Source organism: Homo sapiens, chromosome 11 (assembly GCF_000001405.40).
Source record: "Homo sapiens chromosome 11, GRCh38.p14 Primary Assembly".
Lineage (NCBI taxonomy): Eukaryota > Metazoa > Chordata > Mammalia > Primates > Hominidae > Homo > Homo sapiens.
This window is the reverse complement of record NC_000011.10, coordinates 92,873,689-92,898,555: the sequence shown is the minus strand read 5'-3', so window position 1 is coordinate 92,898,555 and position 24,867 is coordinate 92,873,689. Positions and strand designations below refer to the sequence as shown.

The 24,867-nt window shown below is 42.0% G+C and overlaps 1 protein-coding gene across 11 annotated transcripts in view, besides 2 other annotated features; it reads right to left on the bottom strand.

Annotated features, from left to right (window-relative positions):
- Positions 2,083-24,867, bottom strand: part of FAT3 (FAT atypical cadherin 3) — a 671,656-nt gene continuing 648,871 nt past the window's right edge. For 7 of the 11 annotated variants that reach the window (XM_017017179.3, XM_017017178.3, NM_001367949.2 and 4 more), the window contains 6 exons: positions 17,672-17,825; positions 15,163-15,818; positions 11,443-11,556; positions 9,308-9,367; positions 8,665-8,700; positions 2,083-8,065 (listed from right to left, as the gene is read on the bottom strand). In XM_017017179.3, coding sequence (XP_016872668.1) covers positions 7,443-8,065; positions 8,665-8,700; positions 9,308-9,367; positions 11,443-11,556; positions 15,163-15,818; positions 17,672-17,825 — 1,643 coding nt within the window. In that variant the 3' untranslated portion in view covers positions 2,083-7,442. The other 4 variants (XM_017017182.3, NM_001008781.3, XM_017017180.2 and 1 more) reach the window with 3 other exon arrangements.
- Positions 8,873-10,072: an enhancer, noted in NCBI's record as "MED14-independent group 3 enhancer chr11:92621650-92622849 (GRCh37/hg19 assembly coordinates)". NCBI's record gives its function as "activates an origin of replication core promoter dependent on BRD2, BRD4, P300/CBP and CDK7 cofactors, and independent of MED14, by STARR-seq in HCT116 cells {active_cell/tissue: HCT116}" and the evidence as "EXISTENCE:reporter gene assay evidence [ECO:0000049][PMID:35650434]".
- Positions 11,899-12,193: a silencer, noted in NCBI's record as "tiled region #9498; K562 Repressive DNase unmatched - State 12:CtcfO". NCBI's record gives its function as "represses a minimal TATA promoter and a strong SV40 promoter by Sharpr-MPRA in K562 cells {active_cell/tissue: K562}" and the evidence as "EXISTENCE:reporter gene assay evidence [ECO:0000049][PMID:27701403]".

The window sequence follows — 24,867 nt, the reverse complement described above, 5'->3', positions numbered from 1 at the left end:
TTTGCAGACATGGGGTCTTGCTGTGTTGCTCTGGCTGATTTAACTCCTGGCCTCAAGTGATCCTCCTGCCTTGGCCTCCCAAAGTGTTGGGATTACAGGCGTGAGCCACTGCACCCAGCCAATCAATGCTATTTCTTAACTGACACCTCTGAATTGCTCTATCAGTTCTGAGGCATGGATGGAGATTTACGATAATTCTCTTTCTGCTAAGGATGGCCACATGATAGACATAGTCATCAATATTTTCCTGATGCTTAATTTATGAACACATCACTGTGGTGTGAGGTTGAAAGGCAGGAGACTTCCACTTGCCCCTCTAAATCCTTCTCACTGAAGTTGCCAAATTTACTAAAATTAGGTAGGTTTTAAGAGGACAAGGAAATTTATCTGGAGACATCATTGATTAGTTTTTCAATTAAAAACGAAGACCACATAGGTAGTGGGAATCTGGCATAAAAAGAAAAGACATGACTCCATCTCAAACGGCTACTAGTGTATGGGGGAGCCTGGGTGTGCTGGAGTCAGCTCACACTGGCTTGTGAGAGCTGACTGTTAGACTGTCAGGAATTTTGTGAACTAGTTCCTATTACTTTGGTAGCCTGAAATCAGCCATGATCGGAGTATTTATACAATGGAAATTGGCAGAGGCAACAGATTGGTGCTCTTCCTCTTTCAGAAGTTTGTGAAACATTTACCTGGAGGAACAGACAAGCATCCAGAGAACTGCAGTGCGGTGAGTACTGCCAAAGATGAGCTCTGGAAATCAACATAGATTTCAAGCAAAGAGTAGGTGAATATGTAGCTAGGGGCCATTCCCCAGGGAGTGGCCTCACAGTTCCAGGATCCTGGTTGGGTGGGGCAGGTGAGCTCTGCTGCTGGCGCAGGTAGGGACACACTGTGGTGGCGGCCAGCGAGGTCCATAGAGGGGCCTTTCCTTGCTTGTGCGCAGACTGCAGAGGCAAGGCAGAGGGCATTCCTCCCTTTCTGGAGTTCTTCCTGGTCCCACGCTAACTCCTTGTGATGTCACTTCTGCAAATTACAATTAACTCTTGCACAGCATGGGTGTTAGGGGTGCCAACCCACTCATAGTAAAAACCCATGCATAACTTTTGACTCCAAAACTTAACTACTGATAGCCCACTGTTGATTAGAAGCCTGACCAGTACCATAAACAGTTGATTAACACATATTTTGTATGTTACATGTATTATTTTCCATATTCTTACAATGAAGTAAGCCAGAGAAAAGAAAATGTTATTAAGAAAATCATAAGAGAAAACATATTTACTATTTATTCAGTGGAAGTTGATCACTATAAAGTTCTTCATCATCGTCTTCACATTGAGTGGACAGAAGAGGAGGAGGAAAAGGAGTGGATGGTCTTGCTGTCTCGGGGGGGGGTGGGCAGAGGCAGAAGAAAATCTGCGCTTAAGTGTACCTGTGCAGTTCAAACCTCCCTTGCTCAAGGTCAGCTGTATCAATTTGAGCCCTACTCCCTGTCTGTAACCTCTTCTGTGTATATTTTAACAGACCTTCACTCCATATGGAACATTTTCGGGAGCTTTTTGGAGGAAAACTCAATTGTGCCCCAAACCTTTGGAAAACTTTTGGAAAAAACCTTATTTATTTATTTATTTATTTTTGAGGGAGAGGAGTGCTGGAGCTGCTGTCTAGAAGAGGTGGGGATGTGCTTAGATTTCCACAGATGTAGGACTCGATGATCTTTATTTGTTCAAGCCTCCAGCACTCTTTTCAATTTTCCCACCAGGGAAAAAATCTCACAAGGCGTGTGCTCAGTAAGAAGTTACATAAGATTTCAACATGTGTACCAGGACAGATAGAAGTTTTTCTGGAGGTAAAAAGTCTCAGGGGGTTGGGGAAGCCACACTAACACAACAAAACTAAAATGTCCCTGTCAGACCAGAGACCCCTCTCTTTGAGAGGTAGACTAGGGCTAAAGAGCTTTTTTGCTCTGTACCACGTCTTTCTACCATGCCCTGTGGAATACACCTCTAAATACCATGCGAGCAATGAACTAAAGACAAAGAAAAGGAAACACTTAAAAAGAGTCAACACAATTGCTAGTTTCATTTTTTTCTTTTTACTTGAAAACTTGTTTTAACCATCAAATTTTGGCAGTTACAAACCTGTACACTGTTGTGTTTTTTTTTGTTGTTGTTGTTTCTTTTTTTTGGCTGTCTTTTTTTTTGTTTGCTTTTGTTTTTTTTTTCTTTTCTTTTCTTTTTTTTTAGAAAAAGAACACAAGACTGAATACTGCCACCAGCAATATATGCAGGAACAATCCATTTCCTTAAGGGACAAAATCCACTCTAAGTGTTAGCTTTCCCCTTTGCATAAGGTTTGGTGTGTGATGTGTGTGCAAGTTGAGGTGAATGTGCATGTATATGAAGAAATGGCATACCTCATTGTGATTCTGAAATTGCATAAAAATAAAATACTTAATAACTGGGCAAAACACATTCTTTTTTACAAATGTCAATAAAGACAATTTTTCTTGAAAACAGAGAAAGTTAAATGAAAACAGTAAGAACCAAAGAAAGGTTACAGTACATTTTGAAATGAGTAAAAAACATCATTTTCAAATCTAAAATCCTTGTGTGTGTGTGTGTGTGTGTAGTTACCTCAAAAGTTTGCAGACCAACAGCGTGGATGACTTACAATTATATTCGACCCCCCAAATTAAAGCATCCTGATAGGCATCAAATATAGTATCTACAAAAGCCTGGAAAATTGAAACCATTTATATACAATTTTATAAACATTTCAAACACCAAAACATACATCTTTTACAAACCAGCCTGTTTGCAACAGGCAAACGTACAAGACAATCTCTCTGATACAGTGCTTAAAAAGAACTGCTTCCATTTCCAAACACATTTGCCACTCCCAAAATGCAGTAGTGTGGGCTCATAAGATTGTTAAATAGTAGCAATTCAGTTATTTGTTTGCCAGAAGGGTACTACAGTACATACTAATTGGTCCAAACACGCTCCAAATGACTCTACGATTCTCAAGTGCATTCTAAACACTAGAAGAGACTAATTATGGCCTTTGTGTATTATTACCTACTTGTAATTATTGCTTTTCATTATTACATAAGGAAAGAAATATCATATTCTTTTCCTATCTCTTAGCCAGCTGGCTAAATATTAATTGATGCCAAACCCACAAATGGTGACTTTAAACCCCAGCATTACACAACCAGAAGCTCAAAGACATTGTGGATTTTCATCAGAATAATGTGCAGTTGAACACTGTGGGACACAAACCAGCAAAAACATATAACCACCTTCTCACAGAGCACACAAAATGATGACAAGGAATAAATGCCTCTTCAAATCTCCATTTCCCATAGTTTGAAACTAAAAACATAAAACATTAAAGCCTAACCACTTTAGCAATACCTGTGCACTGGGAAGGCAGCGGAGTGAAGAGCCAATTATCTGGACAATCCATGCAAAATGAACACTAGATCTTCCTGAATTACTTCACATAAAACTGTTTTCTGGATTTTAATAATTTATTTTGATAATCTCTTTTCTCAATTCCCCTGACTTTGATGATGCAAACATAGCATCAGTGGGGGTAGTGGATAGGGTGGGGTGGGAAGTAAGTAGGAGAGGACTGATGGTAGATATGTTCAACTTGCTTTTTTTCCAGAATGTGCTAGTAATGTCCAAGGGAAGTTCCAGGCAAATCCCAGAAACTAGTTCCCTTTCCAGCCTTTCACATTTATTCCCTAATTGGATGAACCTCAAAGCATGGACCACCTACTCATGTTCCTAAGTCTTTTATATGGCATTTCATGAATAGGCAGGCCAAGGGTACATGGAAAGCTGGCATAGACTAGAATGCAGCAGCAAAATATTCATAGAGGAAAGGGAATAAATGAAGCATGCATTTTATTCACCTTTTATTACTCCCAAGTTCTTGCTTACTATATGACGAGCACCAAGAGTCTAGCTATTCTCAACCTAACCAGAATGTGTGCAATACTAGTAAAGTGCCTACAACAGATTATGGGAAATGGCTTCCAGGAGGTGGCACATACATGTTCGAAAAATGAGAAAGACATTAATTGATTTAAATAGTTTCCACATGGTTCATCATGGTGGAGGGGGTAGGACAAAGAGTAGCCAGTGTTTGTGGGAAGAAAAAAATGCAAAACCAAAACCAAAAATGCAACCAGTAGGTAACAGTATAATCAAAGTTTCACTACAACTGATGACTGGTCTGAGCTGAACTCTGTAATTATCATTTCATCCCTATTATACAAACATTCATTTGGCAAAAGCAGCATTTCGATGAATGTCTACAGAAATGTATGAATTCTATAACCCCTCTCCCTAGGGGGACTGCAAGGAAACATAAGATCATGAGGCTTTCAGAAAAATATTCTCCATGAATTTTCTTTTATAGCATATTCCAAAGAAGGAATGGTGGAAGTCAGAGGGTCCATCAGAACCAGGTGACTCCCATGCTCAAGGCAGTGTAGGGGTGAACAATATGATGTAAAAAGAATATTGGCTAGATGGATGGGTTCTACTCCTTGTTAAGCGAATTAACTTCCTCTGTGGGCTTGGGCAAGTCTCTTTCCCACTCTGGGTATGTTTCCTCTTTGATAAAATAAGGAGTTTGGACTAGCAAATAGGATTCTTCCAGCTTTTTTGAATTAGTGATCATCCCCACCTAGTAGCATCTTGGCCTGACTGCAAAGCATTTCATAATCTACAGAGAAATCTAACTTTCCAAAAAGTGAAGAGATATCATGTGTTTAAAGATAATAAATCAAAACACAATACATGCTTGCCTGGTATATATTTAGCTGCAGAGCTATTCTGCAGAAAATCAGGGGATGATATCCCAAAGAAAGAGATATTTTATATAGGTCACAGCAAAGGGTGGGCACAATTTTCTTCAGTGGCTTCATGACTGCATTAGGATCTATTTATTCTTTCATTACTGTGTCAGTCAGGCATTCTCCCTCAAAGAGATGCTGTGTAAGCAGTAGGGACTCATCAGCATTAATCTCATTCTAATATTTCCTGGGGGCAGGAAATGACATGTTGGTTTTACTTTGATGGTTTTTATGTCATTGCATTACTTAAAGTGTAGCAGTCACTCTATTCTAGGCCATTAGTTTGTCATTTTTTTCCATGATTCTTGCAAATGTGCTTCTTACATAAGAAAAATACCAAAGACTTTGTTCTCGAAAGCAGCCTTAGTGAAATTCATTTATTTCAAGATCACAGTGTGGATAATACCTCCATGAGTAGGTCTGACCAAGAGACAGGAAGAGAAAGGCTGGAAAACTTGTGAAGTGTAGTGTATCCACTTACTTAGAAAGTTTGGGAATGAAAAAGGATTTTTTTTTTTGCATAAACATTCAGAAACACTGACTCATAAAAAAGAAGTGGATTAAACGCAATTGAAATAACTAAAAATATGTCTGAGTGAATAATGCACAGACTAGGGACAGTACAATTTACACACCAATGCCATATGTCATCAGAAACTGTGGACACAGATTTGCTCATTAAGCAGATAGTGCAAATATGCATATATTTACCATGGCCACTGCACAGGCGGCCGTAATCTGATTGAAGCAAAAAAGGAAAGTCCCTCAACCTGTCAACTTTCAGTTTTGAGGACTGGATTGTTATATTTCCAGTGGAATGATTCTCCTGTTAATTTTGGAAATCATGGCCAAAGCCCACAGATGAGAAGGGAATCCCAGGGTGTAATCAAACATTACACACTTTTAAAACAGAGGTAAGTTCTGGAAAATTATAACAAAATACTGTTTTTAAAAAGCACAGTTTTGGGCTGGGCACGGTGGCTCATGCCTGTAATCCCAGCACTTTGGGAGGCCACGGCAGGTGGATTACGAGGTCAGGAGTTTGAGACCAGCCTGGCCAACATGGTGAAACCCCATCTCTACTAAAAATACAAAAAATTAGCCAGGCGTGGTGGCACACACCTGTAACCCCAGCAACCTGGGAGGCTGAGGCAGGAGAATCGCTTGAACCCAGGAGGTGGAGATTGCAGTGAGCTGAGATCATGCCATTGCACTCTAGCCTGGGTGACAGAGCAAGACTCTGTCTTGAGAAAAAAAAAAAAAAGCACAATTTTGCTTTATTGGCAGTACCAAAATAAAGTTAACTGAACCAGAGTAAAATATGGCATTTGATGTTTCTCTAACACCATAGAGATCAGAGAAATTGAAAGGTATGCCATGCTCGCCGGCAGAATTTTCAACATGGTCCATTTCCCAAAACCTTCACATTAGCTTTCCTCAAGAGCAGCCTTACTGAGTGCAAGCACATATTTGTACATAGGCCCAGACACACACACACTATTATAATTTATACACAATAACTAGTCTACTTTCCTCTTTTCTTAACATAATTGTATTTATAATGGTGATGCTACCGATTTAGAATAACAGACACCTTTCCTCTGCATTATGAAGAATTGTGATTATCTAGGCCGCAAACTTTGAAGGTATCGTTTTTTCTTTTTTCCCCCCTGAATTTGTGAGTTTTGCTTAAACTTCTAAAAATATCTAATTGTAGAGAAGCTATATGAACAAAGCCAACTTCTGTAGCAATGTTAGATTTACCAACTGGAATATTTACCAGAAAACACAAAACCAACCAGATAATCACATTCTTTCTAATGTTCAAACAACTTTAACTTCCTCCCCCACCCACCAAATGGAACCCAAAAAGCCTCATGTTGCTCTTCATTGATACCTTTCTTGAAGATCATAAAACCCAACTATATTAGATTGGATGCTTAACACAAACAAACAGAAATAACTGAGCATACTAAACATGTTATTCAAGCCTAATTTTATAGCTGAAAATTGGGCAGCTTATCAAAAAAATAGAGTTGATTTAAAAGGCTTCAGCCCATTTTCTGGTTTGTTTAATAATATTTGTTTCTCTTCTCTTTCGCCTAAGAGACTAACTTTTCCAACAATCATTACTACTATTTTCATTTCATTGGCTCAAAATTACATGCAACAATGCCTCTTTGATTGTTGCCAGTTTTTAATACTGCAAGGACTGATGCTGTAACACTTTCCAGGGCACAATACTGCACAAAGCCATACAAGACTGGCTGTATAACTTAGTGGGTGAAATAATTTTTCCCTCTTTGCATTTTTAGCTGTGAACATAGGTACCTACATCAAGGATTACCAGTCACCTCTCAAAAACAATTTCTGAGCCTTTCATTTTCACCCAACTGGAATCAAGCTTGCTTGTTGGGACAGTATGACTTGTGAAGAAGTTTCTAGTGGAAAAATACAGTATTCCCTTCTCATTCCACAGACAATGCTCCACTGGGACAGAAGCCCAGCCAATCTGCTTCCACTTTTCTGTAACAAACAGGGTGAAGTACCCAAGATGTGATGTCTACACTTGAGTCTGATGCTGAGTCTCCACAAAGGGAATGTGAAGGCTGGCGAGGCTGAGCTCTCCCACGCTCTCGTAGTCACTCATGGCTACTTCGGAATCGTCAAAGCCGCAGTTGGCAGACACATCCGAGGATGAGGTGCCTCTGGAATTGTGCAAGGACAGAGACACGCTGTCTGCTGGGCCTGTGGGCTCTGTGCCCTGGTTCATGCTCACAGCAAAAGTACTAAATTCACAGCTGGCAGGCGGGCCCACCAAATCCGTTTCGTTGGGGAATGGGTGAGGAGGGAGATACTGGCTAGGATGAAACTGGGGCCTTCTCCTGCAGTCTGGGCTCAGTGTGCTGGCCAGGGAGACAGGCTGGGAGGGTGGCAGGGCCTCATATTGGTCTGGGAAGTCCTCCGGGAGAGGAGGAGGCAGCTGGTCCTGACTCAAGAACTCCTCTTCATGAGGGGGTGGGTATTCACTGTCAATGTCATAACCACCCAGGTAGTAATCGCTCTCCAGCTCCCGTGTGCTCCCCTGGTGTGCAGACCCTCCATCCTGGTTCTCATAGTTGGGCACTTCCTCTATGTCCGACAGGCGGGCCCCTGGCATCCAATCAGAGGTGTCCCAGTGATAGGCTGCAAGAGAAAAACCATGACAGTTAATTTCCTCTAGACTGGAGTTGGTGCTTTGCTGGGAAAGGAGCAGGGAAGGGACCTGACATGCAATTTTTAGCATCCAAGAAACCCTAAGAAGCTTATTACAAGGGTCTATGGGGCCAGCCATGCTTTGGCCTGCGGACAACAAGGTGATGGCAACTCTGACAGGTTGATGCCTGGTTGCTGCAGAGCCTCACACTCAGCCATGCCATGAGACGAAGAGCGAGGGCACGCCGAGGAGACAGTTCCAGGACCCCTGAGTACTGTCCCCACTCCCTCTTCCTAGACACATGCTATTGCAGAGCCAGACTGGCAACATGCTTGCAGAGAGGTCCATCAGCTGTGCTGTGGACCACAGGAGGCAGGAAGGCGTGCAGGCAAATGGGTGAAACACACGCACAGAGGATGAGGCTAGGAGGGGAATGCTGGTGGAGCTTTCACCTCCAATACTGAGCGCACGAGACACCTGAGACATGCAAAATTCAGATCAGGGCAGAGGCACAGGAACAGGGTAAGAATGAACTCAGCAATTCAAAACAAACACACAAAAAGTTATGCTAGGGTTGCGGCACAGTCACCTCGGTTGTAGTTCTGTCCTTGGTCCATGACAGACACTGTTTAAATACAAAGTGAAAAGTAAAACTGACAGTCCAAACCATGTGAAGAGGGATAAAACAGAACATTTGAGATGACTTTTAAAAACATACTCCTAAAGGCCTGTGGGCTACGACTAAGTTTAGCCTTTTTTATTTCTTCCCATTGTTATTTAGGGAAAAAACAAAGCAAAACAAAACAGATAAATCACATTTATGCCAGGCCCTAATTTTATTAAGTTACTAATAAAAGTTACGTGGTTGAAATAAGTATCCATAATATTGCAGCTGTGAATGATTTCTTAAGGATTCCCAGCTCATAATAGGTGCTCAATGAACACATGTTGAATATAAAGATAAATTTAGTATTAATCTGGATTGCAACTAATTGGGTGCTCTTTTCTTGAAAGGGATTTTATAAAGAGGGTACCTTATATATTTTTTACAAATTATGAACTGGGTTTTTTTTTTTTCAAAATTTTAAAACAGATCCATAAATATCCCACATCTCATCAGAAACCAGCTGTTTATTGCCCCCTCTGTGGCCAATCCATTAAAATCACTCCTAGTCCAAAGTAACAAGGAAGCAAAATTTCAAGAAATGCTATGGAAGAAAAAAAGTAAATACCTTCATTCTCTATAGTGTCAACTACATTGTTGACAAGCTGAATGACAGTCACTATGGAGGCTTGTGGTCAGGAAAAGAAGTCGGAGGTAGGGGAAGGACAGCTTCAGGTTAGTTGTATATTTTAAACACACCTTATTTTAACAACAACAACAACAGCAACAATGAAGGTGCGGCATGCAAACACCCAAAGCCTCCCCACAATCTGTTAGGAAGTGTATCAGTGGACACCTTTATCTAGAGGGTCCCGGGATTTGTGGAATGGAAGATAAATGGCAGCAAATCCAATGCCAGTCCTCCTGAAAGGCAGGATAGGTCATGATTGCTGAGTCATAAAGTCACCCCTCATGACTCAGCAAAATCAATTTAGGAAGGCAGTGGCTCATCAAGCTCTTGCTAATTTATCGTTAACAACTCCCAAAGGCTCTCAGAGGAAGACCTCACTATTTCCGGGGATAATTATTTGTTGGTCAGTCATGCTGCTCTGAACCAAATGCCAGTGATAGAGGATAACCTTTGCAGGGTTGATGGCTTCACGGTCACATAATGCCACTGACAGCCCAGAACGACCCAAGGCCTAGCTCCCACCAGTAAAGTGTGGACAGAAGTCAGCATTTGGCCTCTCGAATAATTAGAATAGAGAAGGAGATATCTGTGGTCTATATGGGTTGCCTTAATGCTCAGTACAAAGGCTTGTGGAGAGGTGATCAGGCTTAAAACCAATTTGATGAAAGTTCCTAACACCACCTGCCTCATTTGGGACCAACTTGGAAGGTTAACCCTAAAAGGGCAAGAGTGTGATCCTCAGGGTGCACACAGCAGAGCCCATGAGAACAGTTAACCAGGCATCATTGTTGGAGCTGCTGCCTGGACTCTGGACTCTATATTCTTAGGTATTTCTATATAAAGTGCAAACTAGCCACAGCTTTTCTTCTGGCTAGGGAGGAGGAAAAGAGGATACATCAAGGCAGACAGATCTGGGAGTGTGTCTTTGACCTTCCGATAATGGTCAGAAAAAGTCCACTGTTAGGTGATTTGTTGTCCCAGTAGATAGATACACTGAAGGCATCTGCACTTCTCAGAAGTGCCATCATTTGAAAGTGGTGATGAAAATAGGCTCTTTTACTTCCATGATTGCTTCTATGGTCTTGGAGCTCACCTGTTTCTGTATTTGCCTTGAAGACAAGGGCTATGCCTTTCTCATTTTGTACTCTGGGAAAAGGACTCAGCACATGCAAAAAATTCAGCAAGGATTTATAGATTGAATGATTACATAAATTAATAAGTATCCATTTGTTGCTAGTTGCTGACAAATGGGAAAATGACCTAAGGTAAGGCTGCTTGTCTCTGTGGATGACTGTTTGAAATTATTCTTAGTTTACCCAGCACGTTGAAAACACTCACTGTTTTATGACTGTTCCTGCTTCCCTCCCCTGCCCTGGGGAGAACAACCCATCCTCCGAAGCTGGTTCCTCAGCTCAGAAAACCCAGTCCAACATTAGCACCCTCTCCATAAGCATAAGTTCACAAGAGGTAGAGGTAGCAGCTTTGGAGTGTCAACAAAGTCTGTGAACCACGAGAAATTGCATGCAACATTTTGGGTGTATGTGCATTTTTCTAAGGAGCTGCTTCACAGTTTTTAATAAATTCTCCAACAGCCCATAACCCAAATGATTACAAGGGGGATTCAATTGAATGAAGATTCCACTGGTTCTATAAGAAGGTTTTTGTCTCTGAACTAATTTCTAATGACGGGGATGTTGGATGTACAGTGAAGAGGGAAGAGATCATTGGTAAAATAAAAAAAGAAAGAAATTACTCTGTCTGCTAGAGAATATCATTTGGGATGAAGTAGTTCCACCACAAACCAAATAAAAGAGGACTCACTACTGGAGGCCCAGGGTAACTACATCAACCCCTGATACAGATCTCTGGGCCTGCTCACAGCTACAGCTCAATGGGGGCTCCTTTGGCAATGACACCCAACAATGGAGTAAACCAGGGACCTGGTGAACACGCTCAAAAGCCCATGAACAGGTTGAGAAACAAAGCCAGTTGCACCACCCTCCTCCCAACCATGGTCTTCCAGAACAGGAAGCAGAACCCACCCGCTCCGAACAAATCTGATGACTTCTTACCATTGTCGTCACCAGAATCTGACTGGAAGGAGCTGAGGGACTGAACTTCAGAGTTGCTGCCTTTATTACTACCTGCAAAGCAGGTCACTTCTCCCGGGTCATCAACCCCTTTGTCTTCATGGACAGTGAAAGAGAAAGCAGAAATTACACTGGTTACCTTGTGCCTATTTCCAGTCCCACCCACCCCTCTCAGCTAGTTCACTTCTCGAGGCACTTTCATTTGCTTAGAGAAAATAATTTAGCTCCACAGTAGAAAATTGACTGTGCCACTGGGGGCAAAGTTCTGTCAATCAAGTGATTTACATTATGGATTCGAAACCCTTAGCCCATAGTAAATGAGCTTCCAAACAGCTGACAGCCAAAAGTGGCTGTTTCTTCCTCGAAGTGAAGCAACTGAGTGAAGAGTGAAATGAGGATGAAGTGGCTGCATTGCTCTTTGCCATTCAGAGTTAATTTACATCATTTACATGAACTGATGAGGTGTCAACACCAGGTTAAATGAGATAACTTTTAAAATGGGGTATAAATATTTTATAGGCAAGAATGCCTTTACATTTATCCTAACTTCCATCTCTGGACAGTAAGTGGAATTTTCAGCTTTGCCTCCTAGAGGGCAGCATTGTATCATTTTTGGGAGTGACCATGTTCTGCACCCTGTGTCAGGTAGGAGGGCTGGCAGTGGTGTGGATATGCCCTTAACCACATATGTCCTCCTTCTTTACCGTACAAAGACAGTCAGAAACACACAGATGCACATGCGTGCACACACACACACACACACACACCAGGGCTACTTTCTTATTTGATGGACTAAAGGAAGCAATAAAAACAGCCTATATCTTGAGGTTGCCAAGTGCAAAATGAATTAGTAGCCCAGAAATTGTCTCACCAGCTAACTCTGCCTTGCTTAACAAAGAAGGAAATGTATTCAATACAACCCAACAATACTTTGGGGGGAAATGTGAGTTTTGGCCTGAGGTGAATTCTGGAAATAAAGCTGTCACATCAGCAAGGAGTGAGGGCAGTGATCACCAGGAAGAGCTGCAAATCATCATGTAACGCAATGGTACAAAGAGATACAGACTTGTGATTAAAGGAACATTTGTTCCTCTCCGTGGCCACAGAAATCACGTTTCTTCCAAAAAGGGTGGTGTCAGGAACAGGCATGGTGGCTCTGCATCTGCTGTCAGAGGCTGAGGCCACAGGAGTTGGCTAAACGACCGATGTAAGTGGAGAGATATGCCAGGGAGACATTCACCTCCTAACAGCCATGTTGCAGAAAATATGACGATGAGCTTCAGAAAACCACAAGGTGTGCACAAGCTTAGCCCTGAACACAAGGAAGGAAATGACAAATAATCCACTCTGGTGAATGAAGTGCTGAGCATAAAACTCCTTTCTCCACTCCTTCATTTATTAACTCCCCCCTTTTTTATTGCTAAATAAAAAAGAGCCTATTAGCTAGTGGATTGGCAAGATTATAGTGGAGTCTAACTCAACAGATAATTTGAGAGGGAGTATATTTATGGCTGAAATTCAAGGGCAACTGCTTAAAATACATGTGTCTACAGAAAGACAATCAGCAGATAGCAAGTTGGGGCAGCACTAGAATAGAAAGAATTCATTCTTGGCCCTCTGTTATCACCAAGAAATCCTCTTCCTCTAATACCGCTCACCCTCCTTCCTGCCAAAGCTCCCAAGAACAGTGCTGGTAAGAGCACAGGTTTTAATCCTAACTTCTCCTTTTGCTAGTTAGGTGCCTTCAGGTGCGTATTTCACCCATTGAAGGGAGTTTTTTCCTCCGTGGAATGATGGCCTGGTAATGGTACCAACATGGGGGCACTATGATGGTTTAAGGAGATGATGCAACACACAGCAGTGTGCTTCACATTCACCTGCTGCCCTGACTTTCTCATCAAACCTCTTGGTTCTCAACCCTTGCATTCTGGCTTCTGCCTTGATGGCTCTACTGAGAAGCTCTTGAGATGCTGACTCCTCTCGTCATCAGGCTCACTATACATCTATTTTAGCCTGTGTCCTCCTTGGCGGTTTCACAGCATTCAACACTGATGACCTTACTGACATTCTCTTGGCTTCTGCACAAGGGTCCTCTCCTTTTCCCTCCTCTTTCTTTGTTGGCAAGTGTTTGTCTCCTTGCCTGGCTTCTCCCCTTCTGCCCAAAGCCCACATGTAGTCATCTCCAGGGTTCTTTTGGAGGCCTGGTTTGACCATCCTCTCTGTTCTTGTTCCCTTGGTGAGTTCACCCTCCTACAGAGTCCACCATCCTACATGCAGATGTTGTTCAAACTTTCACTTCTAACCTTGACCTCTCACCTGAACAACAGAGCCAGACATCTCTCGGGTAACCCTTTACTTGTCCTCTACACTGAGCTGCTTCCTGTTCCTGGGAGGGCATCTCCAAAGTGTCCTACTGAAATCTTACTCATGCTTAAAGATATCAGTAGGAATATCCCCTTCCTCCATGAAGAAAACCTTTATCTCCCTGGCTGCCCATGGTCTCTAGCTCCATCTGAAAACTTCCTGTTTCCTCCTTCTCCCTCAGCATATGCCACAGTGCTATAACCATAGCCTTCTAGGCTACCTAGGACACAGCTGCTACTGCGATACAAAGCCATTTGTCCTGATGAAGTTATAGGTTACAGCAAAGCTTCCTTTAGTCTCCTTGTGATGGACACTACAGCAGGGAAAACAATCTCTCACAGAGATGTTCACAGAGAGTACCTTACTGGCCCTCTGCTTTCTTCCCTTTTTGGGAAGAAAGCCTGTTCAATTTCTTCTCCTAGGATCAGCCAGAGCCAGCTTTAAAAAATGTAAATTATCATGCCAGTCACTTACTTAAAAACCTGCAATAGTGCTGCTGTTAAAATGTATCCGTTCTCTGGTGCTCAGCAAGCTCCAACTGCACCGACCTCCTCTGTGTTCTTCTACACACCAAGCTCCTTCCCACCCCAGGACTTTTGCACCTGTGGCTCTTCCCTGTGCCTAGAATGTTGCTGTGTGAGGCCAAGTGAAGAGGCAAACACCTCCATCTGGCCCAGACCACCTTTCTGCCTTGTGGATCCCCCTCTTGTTTCATGGTCTCTACATTCCAGCCAAGAAGAAATGACTTGCTTTTCTTCTGATCACATGGGTCCCCCTACGGTGGAATATCCTCCTTTCCCCAGACTCTTTAACTCATCATGGTCCAATTGAAGTGTCCCTCTGCTTCTCTCAAGTCTTCATTCTAAGACTGGAAATACTCTCTTCTTCCAGCCTTCCAGAGCACACTTCTGGACATCACTCAAGTGGCTTTTTGCACTTTGTACATAGGCCCAGACACACACACACTATTATAATTTATACACAATAACTAGTATACTTTCTTCTTTTCTTTTGCACTTTGACCAGTGGCCCGCTATTGTGAGAAGAGGATGGGTTTTGGAGCCTGGAAGACTTGAGTTGGGGTACTGACTGCCTCTTACTAGCTGCCTCACCTTGGGCTCATGATGTTACCCTCTCTGAGCTTCATTTCTCCCATCTGTAAATGGGAACCAGAACCAGGACAATTTTCCAGAGCTGGTGTGCACATTCGACATCAGCACATGTCATAGCGAATGCTCTGCATGCGGGGTCTCTCTCCCTTCCCGTAGCGTCCTCGCACAGCGCCCCTGCAGGTTCCCTGTAAGCACCGAGGGGTGAGCATTACCACTTCCTACTCACTCTCAGTTCCCGCGTCCCAGCCATTCTTCCGGATGGAGTCGCAGTCGGAGCGGCAGGGTGACACGGCGGGGAGGTTGGGGGCCACACTGCACACGACCACGCCCCGCCGGGCTGTCAGGATGCGGGGCGACTCAGGGTGAAACGTGGTCATTTCCTGGTGCTCGCCTCCCAGCCCGTCCACGATCTTATCCAGGTTGCTCCTGGAGTCACTCTGGAAGCAGGGTGTGTAGGCCATGGGGCGCACGGGGACCTGCGGGGGCCCCACCTCCTGGTAGACGTTGCGGCCGTCCCCACTGCCGCGCAGGTTCCGGAACGGGATGCCATTGCTCTTGTTAAGCAGGGCGGCGGTGGCCGGGTCCTGCACTAGCGTGATGTTGTTGCGGGAGTAGTTCTTGCGGAAGACCTTCTTGCGGAAGACTATGAAGAGAACCACCAGGATGAAGATGACGAAGAGGACCACGGCGATGCCGATGAGCTCCTCCTTCCCCACGTAGGAGTGGCCAGCCTGGATATTGGGTACCACCACGGGGCGCAGCCCGCAGTACTGGCCCACGTAGCCCGGCGTGCAGTTGCAGAGGAAGGAGCCGAACACGTTCACGCAGGAGCCTCCGTTCTCACACTCCTCTCGTTCGCACTCATTGATGTCCTCCTCACACCTGCGGCGACACAGAAGCCCCTCCCCACCGTCAGGACCAGTGCACACACGTTGGTATACGGGAACTCGAGAAAACACAGACATCTTTAAAAGAAAACGATGCACCTAAAGGGTACAGATGAAGCAGGACAAAGATGGTTGGTGGGGGGGGGGAGGGGGAGTTAATTTAGGCATTTCTGTGGCCACTGTGGTCCCCAAGTCATCACCTTGCCTTAAGGTGTTCCTCCCAACCCAATCTCTCCCAGGTCTTCCTTTCCTACCTGGGTTGGGGGAAAGGAAGAGACTGAGGTGGGAGAGGAGAGGAGGAGAAAGAGAAAGAATAACAGATGCTATTGAAAAGGTACTGGACTCCAAATCCGCGGGAGCAGATGCATCTCAGAATTTAAAATTGTGCAGTTTTAGCAAGGACATGCAGCACATATCTTTCACATTATGTAAAATACTCCTCCCCCTCACAGAAATTGGTGCTGGCCGTAGTATCCCATAATCAAAAATACCAGTGTTTCTGCAGTGAAACATATGGATATTCACACTAAATGAGAGAAATAAAGAGTAGAAAGAGCCTCAAAACAGTTTTGAACAGGTTTTGCCACCAAATTAGTTTGCCACTAACATACTCCAAACCCTTTAAGTTCTCAGAGCTTTTGGGATTGTAGAATTGCAGACAAAGAGCTGTGAATCTATATATCGGTTATAGGTTTTCCCCAGAGGAAAGTCTTTGGTTCTGACATTTTCCTCTAATGGCTACAGTAATTTTTGGTCCCTCTGGGAAGCTGGGGGCTGCAGGTGGGTGGGTGAAGGGCTACATGTCTTCAACATTCTGTGCTTATGTTAAAGGCTAATACTCATGTAGATTTTCAGGAAGAATGACTAAAGCATTCTAATGAAAAATAATTAAATCAATTTTATTCTCTTTAAAGCAATCCATGACTCACTTTGAGTATAATTATAAGGCAAGTGTTTCAGTCTTATTCTTTCTTAGCTTAGTATTATTTGAGAACATAGACCTTCTTTTTCACTTTTCTCTATTTCAGCAATTTTTCTGATATTTAAAAGGTCCAATCACCTATATTTTTGGTAATCTACCTTTTAAAATGTAGCCAAACGAAACCTAATTTGAACAGATAGAGGTGAGGACAGCCGGAAATTAGTCAGAATCACAGAGTATTTAAAAATAAATGCCGCTTTATTACTTTAAATTACATCCAACGATTCAAAATCAGTTAAGTATTTCCTGGTAAAGTCCTCGGGAGATTTGCTCTAATGAATAAGTAAGACTGATCTGTAATTAGAATATCACTTGCTTGAGATTACATACATATACTTCTAAAACGATCAAGGATGGCTGAAAGTGGCATTTTACTAGGAATTTAAAACGGTCTCTTTCCTTTTGGCAAATATTTAATTTTGTTTCTTTCTTATGAAAGAAAGGTTTGCAAAGGGAAGGTAAGTTTCAGTATCTCAGAATGATCAAAAAACAATAGGCCGTAGAGTCCAGTTAATGGATTCTGCGGAAATGGGTAGTATGTCTGCCTCCGAATTATAATAGAAATATTAGGTGGCCTAGATGACTTTCTTTTCTCCCTAGTTACAGACTACATAGTAATCATACACAATTTTGAAGGTATAGGGAAACATAAAGTAGAAAATATGAATTACTCATGACCCTACTACCCAGAGATAATTCCTATTAACATTTTAGTCACCTGTAAGCACTCCTTATACGTATCGTGCAGATGTTAACCCTTTGCCTGTACTATTAGTGGTAAATATTTTACCCTCATTAGTTGTTTACTGGTTTGTTGTAGCAATAAAGAACAGTGTAGAGAAAGACACTTATGTAATCTCACTTACGTGACTCCAGTGAGCCCAGCTTTACAATTGCAGATGAAAGTGTTTCCTATTGGATCGCAGGATCCTCCATTCCGGCAGGGGTTTGGGAAGCAGGCTGTAATCTCAGATTCACAGTTTCTCCCCGTAAACTGTGAGAGACAGGTACACTGATAGCCTGGGGAAACAGAGGACCTCATGAGCCATGGATGCCACTGCTAGGGCTGAGTGCTTGGACTCAGCTATAACATGTCCTCCTAATTCTTTGTTGAACCGTATAATAGGAAGGGCCCAAATTCCAAAGGTGGTTAGCAAATTGATTGCTTGAAACATCTTGCCACAAAAATGCCAAGTTACAGTTGGGATTTCCTGCTAGCCCACAAAAATTCACCTAATTAACCACATACATGAATGCTAGTGAGAACTGTAAGACCCACCCAAGGGACAGATTTCAAGAGCAGAACCCAAGATGGGGAGGAAGATGTTTTCTCCCCGGCACTATTACTGCACAAGGCAGATGCCTCCAGACAGGAGTGGTTTACTATTGATACCATGCTACCTCTTTTCCTGAGTCACTGTCCTATCTCGTGTGCCCCTTCTCCTTAGCCAAGTACTGAAATCCCACCCAGAGAGGGAATGAGGGGAGAGCAGGTAAAAGGATATTTGTCAACTCAAATGAACCCCAGATTGGCAAAGGCACAGGGAAATGGAAGGAATTCCAGCCTTTGCCCAGCTCCCCTGGTCCGATCCTGATTTTTGCATTTTTTTCACTTTCTCCCCTCATAAGCCCATCATGCAGAAATTGGTAGTAATATAATATCCTCACTACAGAGAATATGAAATATCAGATGTGGAAAGAGGCATTATCGACCTCTTGAGATGCATTATCTCTTGAGATGGAAGGGATGAATAACTAGTAAGGGTGTTCTTTCTTCCCTCCTTTAAAAAAAACCGTAAGATTTGTTTTTTTAAATTACAGATATACATGCACATAGTAAAGAGGAAGGCAGTTCTACAAGTTTTATTTTGTCCACTAGCAGTCTTCTCTCCCATTTACACTTCCTCCGAAGCAACCTGGGTATCCCTTTTGGTATTTCAATATTTCCTTCCATAGTATTTGACTATTTTTGTGATTATTTTAGTGTTAGGCATTTTCTATTAGCTTTCCACTATGCTTTTTTTTATTTCAAACCTTCAGCCTCACCACATAGGAACACCTCTTGTGATGCCCCTATCTCACAATATATTATAGTATTATAATTTTGGTTAAGTCAATGCAGTGTTTGCATTATGATGACAATGAAACGTTATTTGCAGCTAAGCCATGTAGTAAGCTCGATTGTATTTTTATATTCATGCATAACTGGTTTTCCCTGGAGTTAAAAAATGTCCAGTGTTTTTGCTTGCTTATTTCTGAATATTGATTGTTAATTTAACTAGAAACTCTTCACCAACCCGGTCTCTCCGAGTTTAGTTGCCTCTGCTTCCCTGTATTTTCATCCCCTGAATTAGTCTCTCCTGAGGCCCTCTGACTGGCTTCACCCTGAATGTTGTCCTCTGGCCCTGCTTTCCTGCTGTCCTGTGTTGGATCTGGTGATTCCTGTATCACCTGTCTGCCTATTTCTTGGTTTACTCTCTCATTTCACTAGAACGCATTCCACAGTTACTTCCTCCAAAAGGGTTTATAGGAAGGAAATCTTGTGAGACTTTGCATAGCTGAACATGTCTTTACTTCACCCTGATACCTCTTTGACAGGTTGTGTAAAAAATTATAAGCAATCCCTCCATGTCGCTTTTGAGAAATCCAAAGTCATTTTGGCTCTTGGAGTTTGTATGTAACTTGTTTTTTTTTTCCCCTCTCTTTAACATCTTGGAGGATCTTTTTGCCTCCAATTTTCTGAGATTTTGCAGTGATGTACTTTATATGGGTTTATTTTCAGCCAATACTGGATACTCAGTGGGCTCTTGCAATCTGGAAATTTTTGTGTTTTCACTTTAGGAAAATTTCTTTTATTATTTCTTTGGTAATTTATTTTCCTCTGTTTTCTCTATTCTATTTTTATGGAACTTCTATTTTTTGGATCTCAGATCTCCTGGACCTTCCTCTAACTTTATTTTTTCTCTCTTATGTTACATCTCTATGAGGTTTTGCTTTACTTTTTATGACAGTTTCTTATCTCCTTCACTTTTATTGAGATTTCATTAATTTGTCATTTTCCAAGAACTTTTTTTGTGCGGAGCTTTTTTTTTTTTTTTTTTTTTTTTTTTTTTTTTAACACATAACATCCTGCTCCTGTGTTGTGGTTATAGTATCTTCTCTTATCTGTCTGAGGATATTAATAATACTTTTATGAAGTTTTCTCCCTGCAGTTTTTTCCAAGTTGCTTTTCTCTGTTTCTTTGTTTTGGTCTCTGTGATATTTAACCTTATGTGTCAACTTGGGTAGCCTATTGGTAGCCAGATGTTGGGTCAAACACTAGTCTAGATGTTGCAGTGAAGGTATTTGGGTATTTGTGGATGTTATCAATTTATTTATTTATTTCTATTTTTAGCTGTGAGTCTCACTTGGGTATGACAAAATGTATAATCAGTTACCTTAAAATGAAACATATTACTCTCCATAATATGGGTGGGCCTCATTATTCAGTTCAAGGCCTTATGAAGAAAGAATCCTGCCTCAAGACTGTAACATAGAATAAATTTTACCCAAATTTCCAGCCTGCTGGCTTACTCTGCAGATTTTGAATTCAAGACTGCAAAATCAACTCTTACATGAATTTTCAACCAGCCAGCCTGCTCAGTCATAAGCCAATTCTTTGAAATCAGTCTCTCTCCACATACATGTATGTGCACATGCTCATGTATATACACAAATGGTCTCTGCCTTATGATTGTTCAACTTATGATTTTTTGACTTTATGAAGGTGTGAAAGCAATATATACTCAGTAGAAATGTGTTTCAGGTAGGCTAGGCTAAGCTATAATGTTTGGTAGGTTAGGTGTATTAGATGCATTTTTTACTTAAGGTATTTCCAACTTATGATGAGTTTATTGAGATGTAACCCCATCATAAGTTGAGGAGTAGCTGCATATATCTCCTATTGGTTCTGCTTCTCTGAAGAACTCTAATACATTTTCTATCTTCCAAATGAGATGATTTCTTTACTTGTAACCATTGCTTATTAGTTCACATTGAAGAGTATAGCAATAGAAAACTAGAAATCTGATGAGAAGCTCTGAGCACATTAATGGGGCTCAGCAACTGTAAAACTGAGTCAGTAGCTTTGTCATGGTCAGTTTCCCTAGCAACAGCTCATCTTATCGTCTGTTCAGAGGGAAGGTAAAGGCCTGGTTTCTAATACTGGGAGGTTGGGTGGTGGCAGAGGAGGGGTGGTTGTGAGTTTCAGCATCCAATAAGCACATCATATTTACTTTAACCCCTGTACAGCACAGTGTCTGGCATGCTCCAGTCCTGAGACCCTGCATTTCAACATCACCTGCAGGCCTCGTCACAGCATTGGGGGAACAATTGCCTGGTTGTGCAGAGGGAAGGTGGGAATCCAGATTGAATCCTGACTGCCTCTAAACCGTTTTGAGCAATTCTTATTTTAAGCTCTTTTCCCCATCTCTCCCCCTTCAGAAGTGACTGGTGCCTCCAGTTCCTGAGTTTTTGGGGATTCAGTCCCCCGAGTTTTTGGGAATTCGGTCCCTTCTACCAGCTGGAATTTAGGTCTCTAAGAGCTTCTTTTCTCTCTCTCTTCCTTACCACCTGTCTCTCTGCCTTCCACCTCCAAACCTGTGTTGGTGTTGTCTACTTCCCTATTCTCCTCACTTCTATGGGCTTATGACTCATTTAAAAATAACTTTAATTCCATAGCAGTGGGGTTGTAACAGCAAGCTGCCACCCTTACCCTGAAGTGGCCAAAAAGGCTTTCCCCATATCTAAGACCTTTTGTAACTACTGCAAGGAACCATTCTCACTCTTACTTGAAGGACTCTTGGGTTTCTCCTCTTCAAATTTGTCAGTGACTGATGTTGGGATTATAAAGCTTGATCTCTACAGATAAAAGATAGTTAAAAATGAATAGTTTGAAATGAACATATGCTCTTATGGATGTTTTGCTGAATACCCATTACAGATAACTCCCAGGTACAGAAGGAAGAATGATTGTGTGTTCATAGGTTCACAGAGAGAAAATCTTATCTTCAAGAGACAGATGCAGGAGCCAAGAGAGCAATCTATATATTTCCAAGTGGAGGAGACTATGCAGCCCCAGCCTTCCTGGCAGCAAGAAACACAGAGGGAAAGAGACTGAGACTCAGAGAGTGACACATAGATATTAGAAAAAGAATGCCCTTAAACGCAAAGCCAAGGAAAGACCAAGGAGCTCCTAAGGAAAGGCCATTGTTGATGCCAGCTATGTCTACAGAAGGCCAGCCTGAGGTCTCTGGGTAGAGGCAGAAGTCTGAGGTATGCTTGCTTGAAGTTATGTTGACTTGGGGTTATTTTTTTCATTTTGGGAAATTGCTCACTTTAATAGAGTTGAAAATTGTTGAAGGCAGCTGGGATTGGGAAAAACGCTTCTTTGTGTCACCTGGCTAGTTGTTGGCTATGATGGCATGTCTTTAGACAAACAGTAACTTGGGAGGAGGAATTAGATTCTTTTTTAGAATATAATCTTAGACAACCACAGTACAGGACTCTGAAAAGCACATCAATGATGGGGAGGGAAGTCAGGAATGGGGGGAGTCCAAGGCAAGGTAGGTAAACTTGGCGAAAACTCCCTCTCCAGCTCCTCTTTGGCAAGCCTCTGACAGTTTCTTAAATAAAACTACATCAGAAGCACCTGGGGGCAGGGGAGGGTCAAGGAGGGGCGGTCCAGATCTGAGGGACATTTAAATCACTATCATGGAAACTGGATTCTAACTCAGGTCATGGGACTGATTTTTGATCTGATGGCAGAGAAGCAATTTGATGTCTCTGTGCCTTGGAAAATCAGAATTTAAAATAAGACACTACCTCTAGAGCACAATTTTACTTATACACAGTTCCTTCTGAATTTTGCCGTTTTCATCATCTTTTGTGGAGTATCTAGCACTACTTGATGCAGCAGCTAGCTTGGCTGATTAACATATCCACATCGACTGAGTGCCTAAGTCATAGATGGTGGTGTGGCTGGTGCCAACTCATACAGGGTCCCAAGAGGTAACTGTTAAATATTCAGGAATTTGGCAGGTCAGTTGTTAAACCACGGGTAGCCTGACATCAGCCATGGTGGAAGTACTTACACTGCAGTCATCAGCAAATGCTACAAATCAGGGCTTTTATTTTTAGAGAACTGGTTTACCAGCACACCCCTGGAATAGGGACTGTGGCAAGCACTGGGGATACAAAGACAGAAAAACTCCATTTAGAAGCACGCTATAGAAGAGGCAGCTGAGGTACAGAGAAGCTGATTGCTTTGTCATGGTCACAAAGTGGGTGTGGATTTGAACCCAGGAAGTCTGGCTCCTGCAGTCCTGAACTGTATTTCTAACAACCACACTTCATTACCCATTCTGTTTATCAGAAAGAGCAGCAAACTGTCTAGGATCTTATGATTGCAAACCCTTGGGGCATAGGAGGCAGAGCCTTTTGGAAGAAGTCTTGCTTTTAGAACTTTAAATTCGGAGGAGTTTTATGTTAACACAATGAGAGGGAAAAGCAATTGGAATTTTTTAAAAGTGGTCAGATTTTTTTTTTAGTGAAAGAAGAGTGATATCTATTGTTCAGCCTCTGTGAAAAGGCTTGTTTATGAAAATTAACCTGTTCTCACAAAATATTATTTATAATCTCATTATCCTGGTATTAGCCCTATTATTAATACTTTCAAAAATATCAATAATGATTATTATCATTCATTAGTAGCCATAATGATACTAAGTAATCTAATGCTTTAGTGTTTTTAAATCACTTTCATTCTCTGAAGGATCACAGTGATCCTATGAAGGAAAAAGAAGAGGTCTCATTAACATCTCAACTCCTGGGGCTGCTGGAGAGGTTAAGCTGTTTGTTCAAGAGCGTATACTAGGCCGGGTGTGGTGGCTCATGCCTGTAATGCCAGCATTTTAGGAGGCCAAGGTGGGCGGATCACCTGAGTTCGGGGGTTTGAGACCAGCCTGACCAATATGGTGAAACCCCGTCTCTACTAAAAATACAAAATTAGCCGGGCATGGTGGTGCATGCCTATAATCCCAGCTACTTGGGAGGCTGAGGCAGGAGAATCACTTGAATCCAGGAGGCGGAGGTTGTGGTGAGCCGAGATCACGCCATTGCACTTCAGCCTAGGCAACAAGAGCGAAACTCCATCTCAACATACATTAGTAAGAGATTGAGTTTAAACTTGACTCTAGGCTTTCTGATTCTCAAATCTTTCTACAAGACTGTATTAGAACTTATCACTGAGCCCAAGCTCATTAGTTTCTAGGGATAAGAAAGAAGAGCTTGTTGTTACTTCCCATCAGTCTCTGGGAAGCAGATAAGATACAGTGAGATGGACAATTTTAGAAACTCCTTCTGGGAATCCAATCATCATTAAATAATAAAGATAATAGAATAAAAAGTTTCTACTCTTCCCAAGCATTACCATATGTTGTTATAAAACACAAATAAAGTGAACAAAATTCTAAGAGATATCTAGGGATTTTTTGATCACAAATAATATTTACCACTTTTGTAAATGTGAAAGAAAAATATCAATGGTTGATCTCAACGTATTCTTAAAAAATTGATTTTTTTTCTTGTTCAGAGGGGAGAATATCAAATAAGGAAATAATTAGCAAGAACAATAGCTTATGTGATGTGAAAAATTCTAAGAACTTTCTGTGCATTCTGTCTCATTTAATTCTTACAACAACCCTATGCCATAAGTATTGTTATTATAGTTATTTTACAAATGAGAAAACTGAAGCGTCAATAAGATGGGTTTCACGAGGTTACACAGTCAATGAGTGGCAGATGCACTTCATGCCAGTTCTCAGATTTTAGAAAGGAAATGGTCCTACTAGTGTGGAGATACATGTACCGAAAAGTCATAGCTTCTTTCCCCTCAAATCCTGGCAAAATGAGAAGTGTATTTTTAAGCCTTGCCTCAAAGCTGTGTTTCTGTTTACAATCCTTCTAGTTATAGCAGATGCAGATGGTTTTGAAATCTGCATCCAGACCAACTTAAAATGAATCC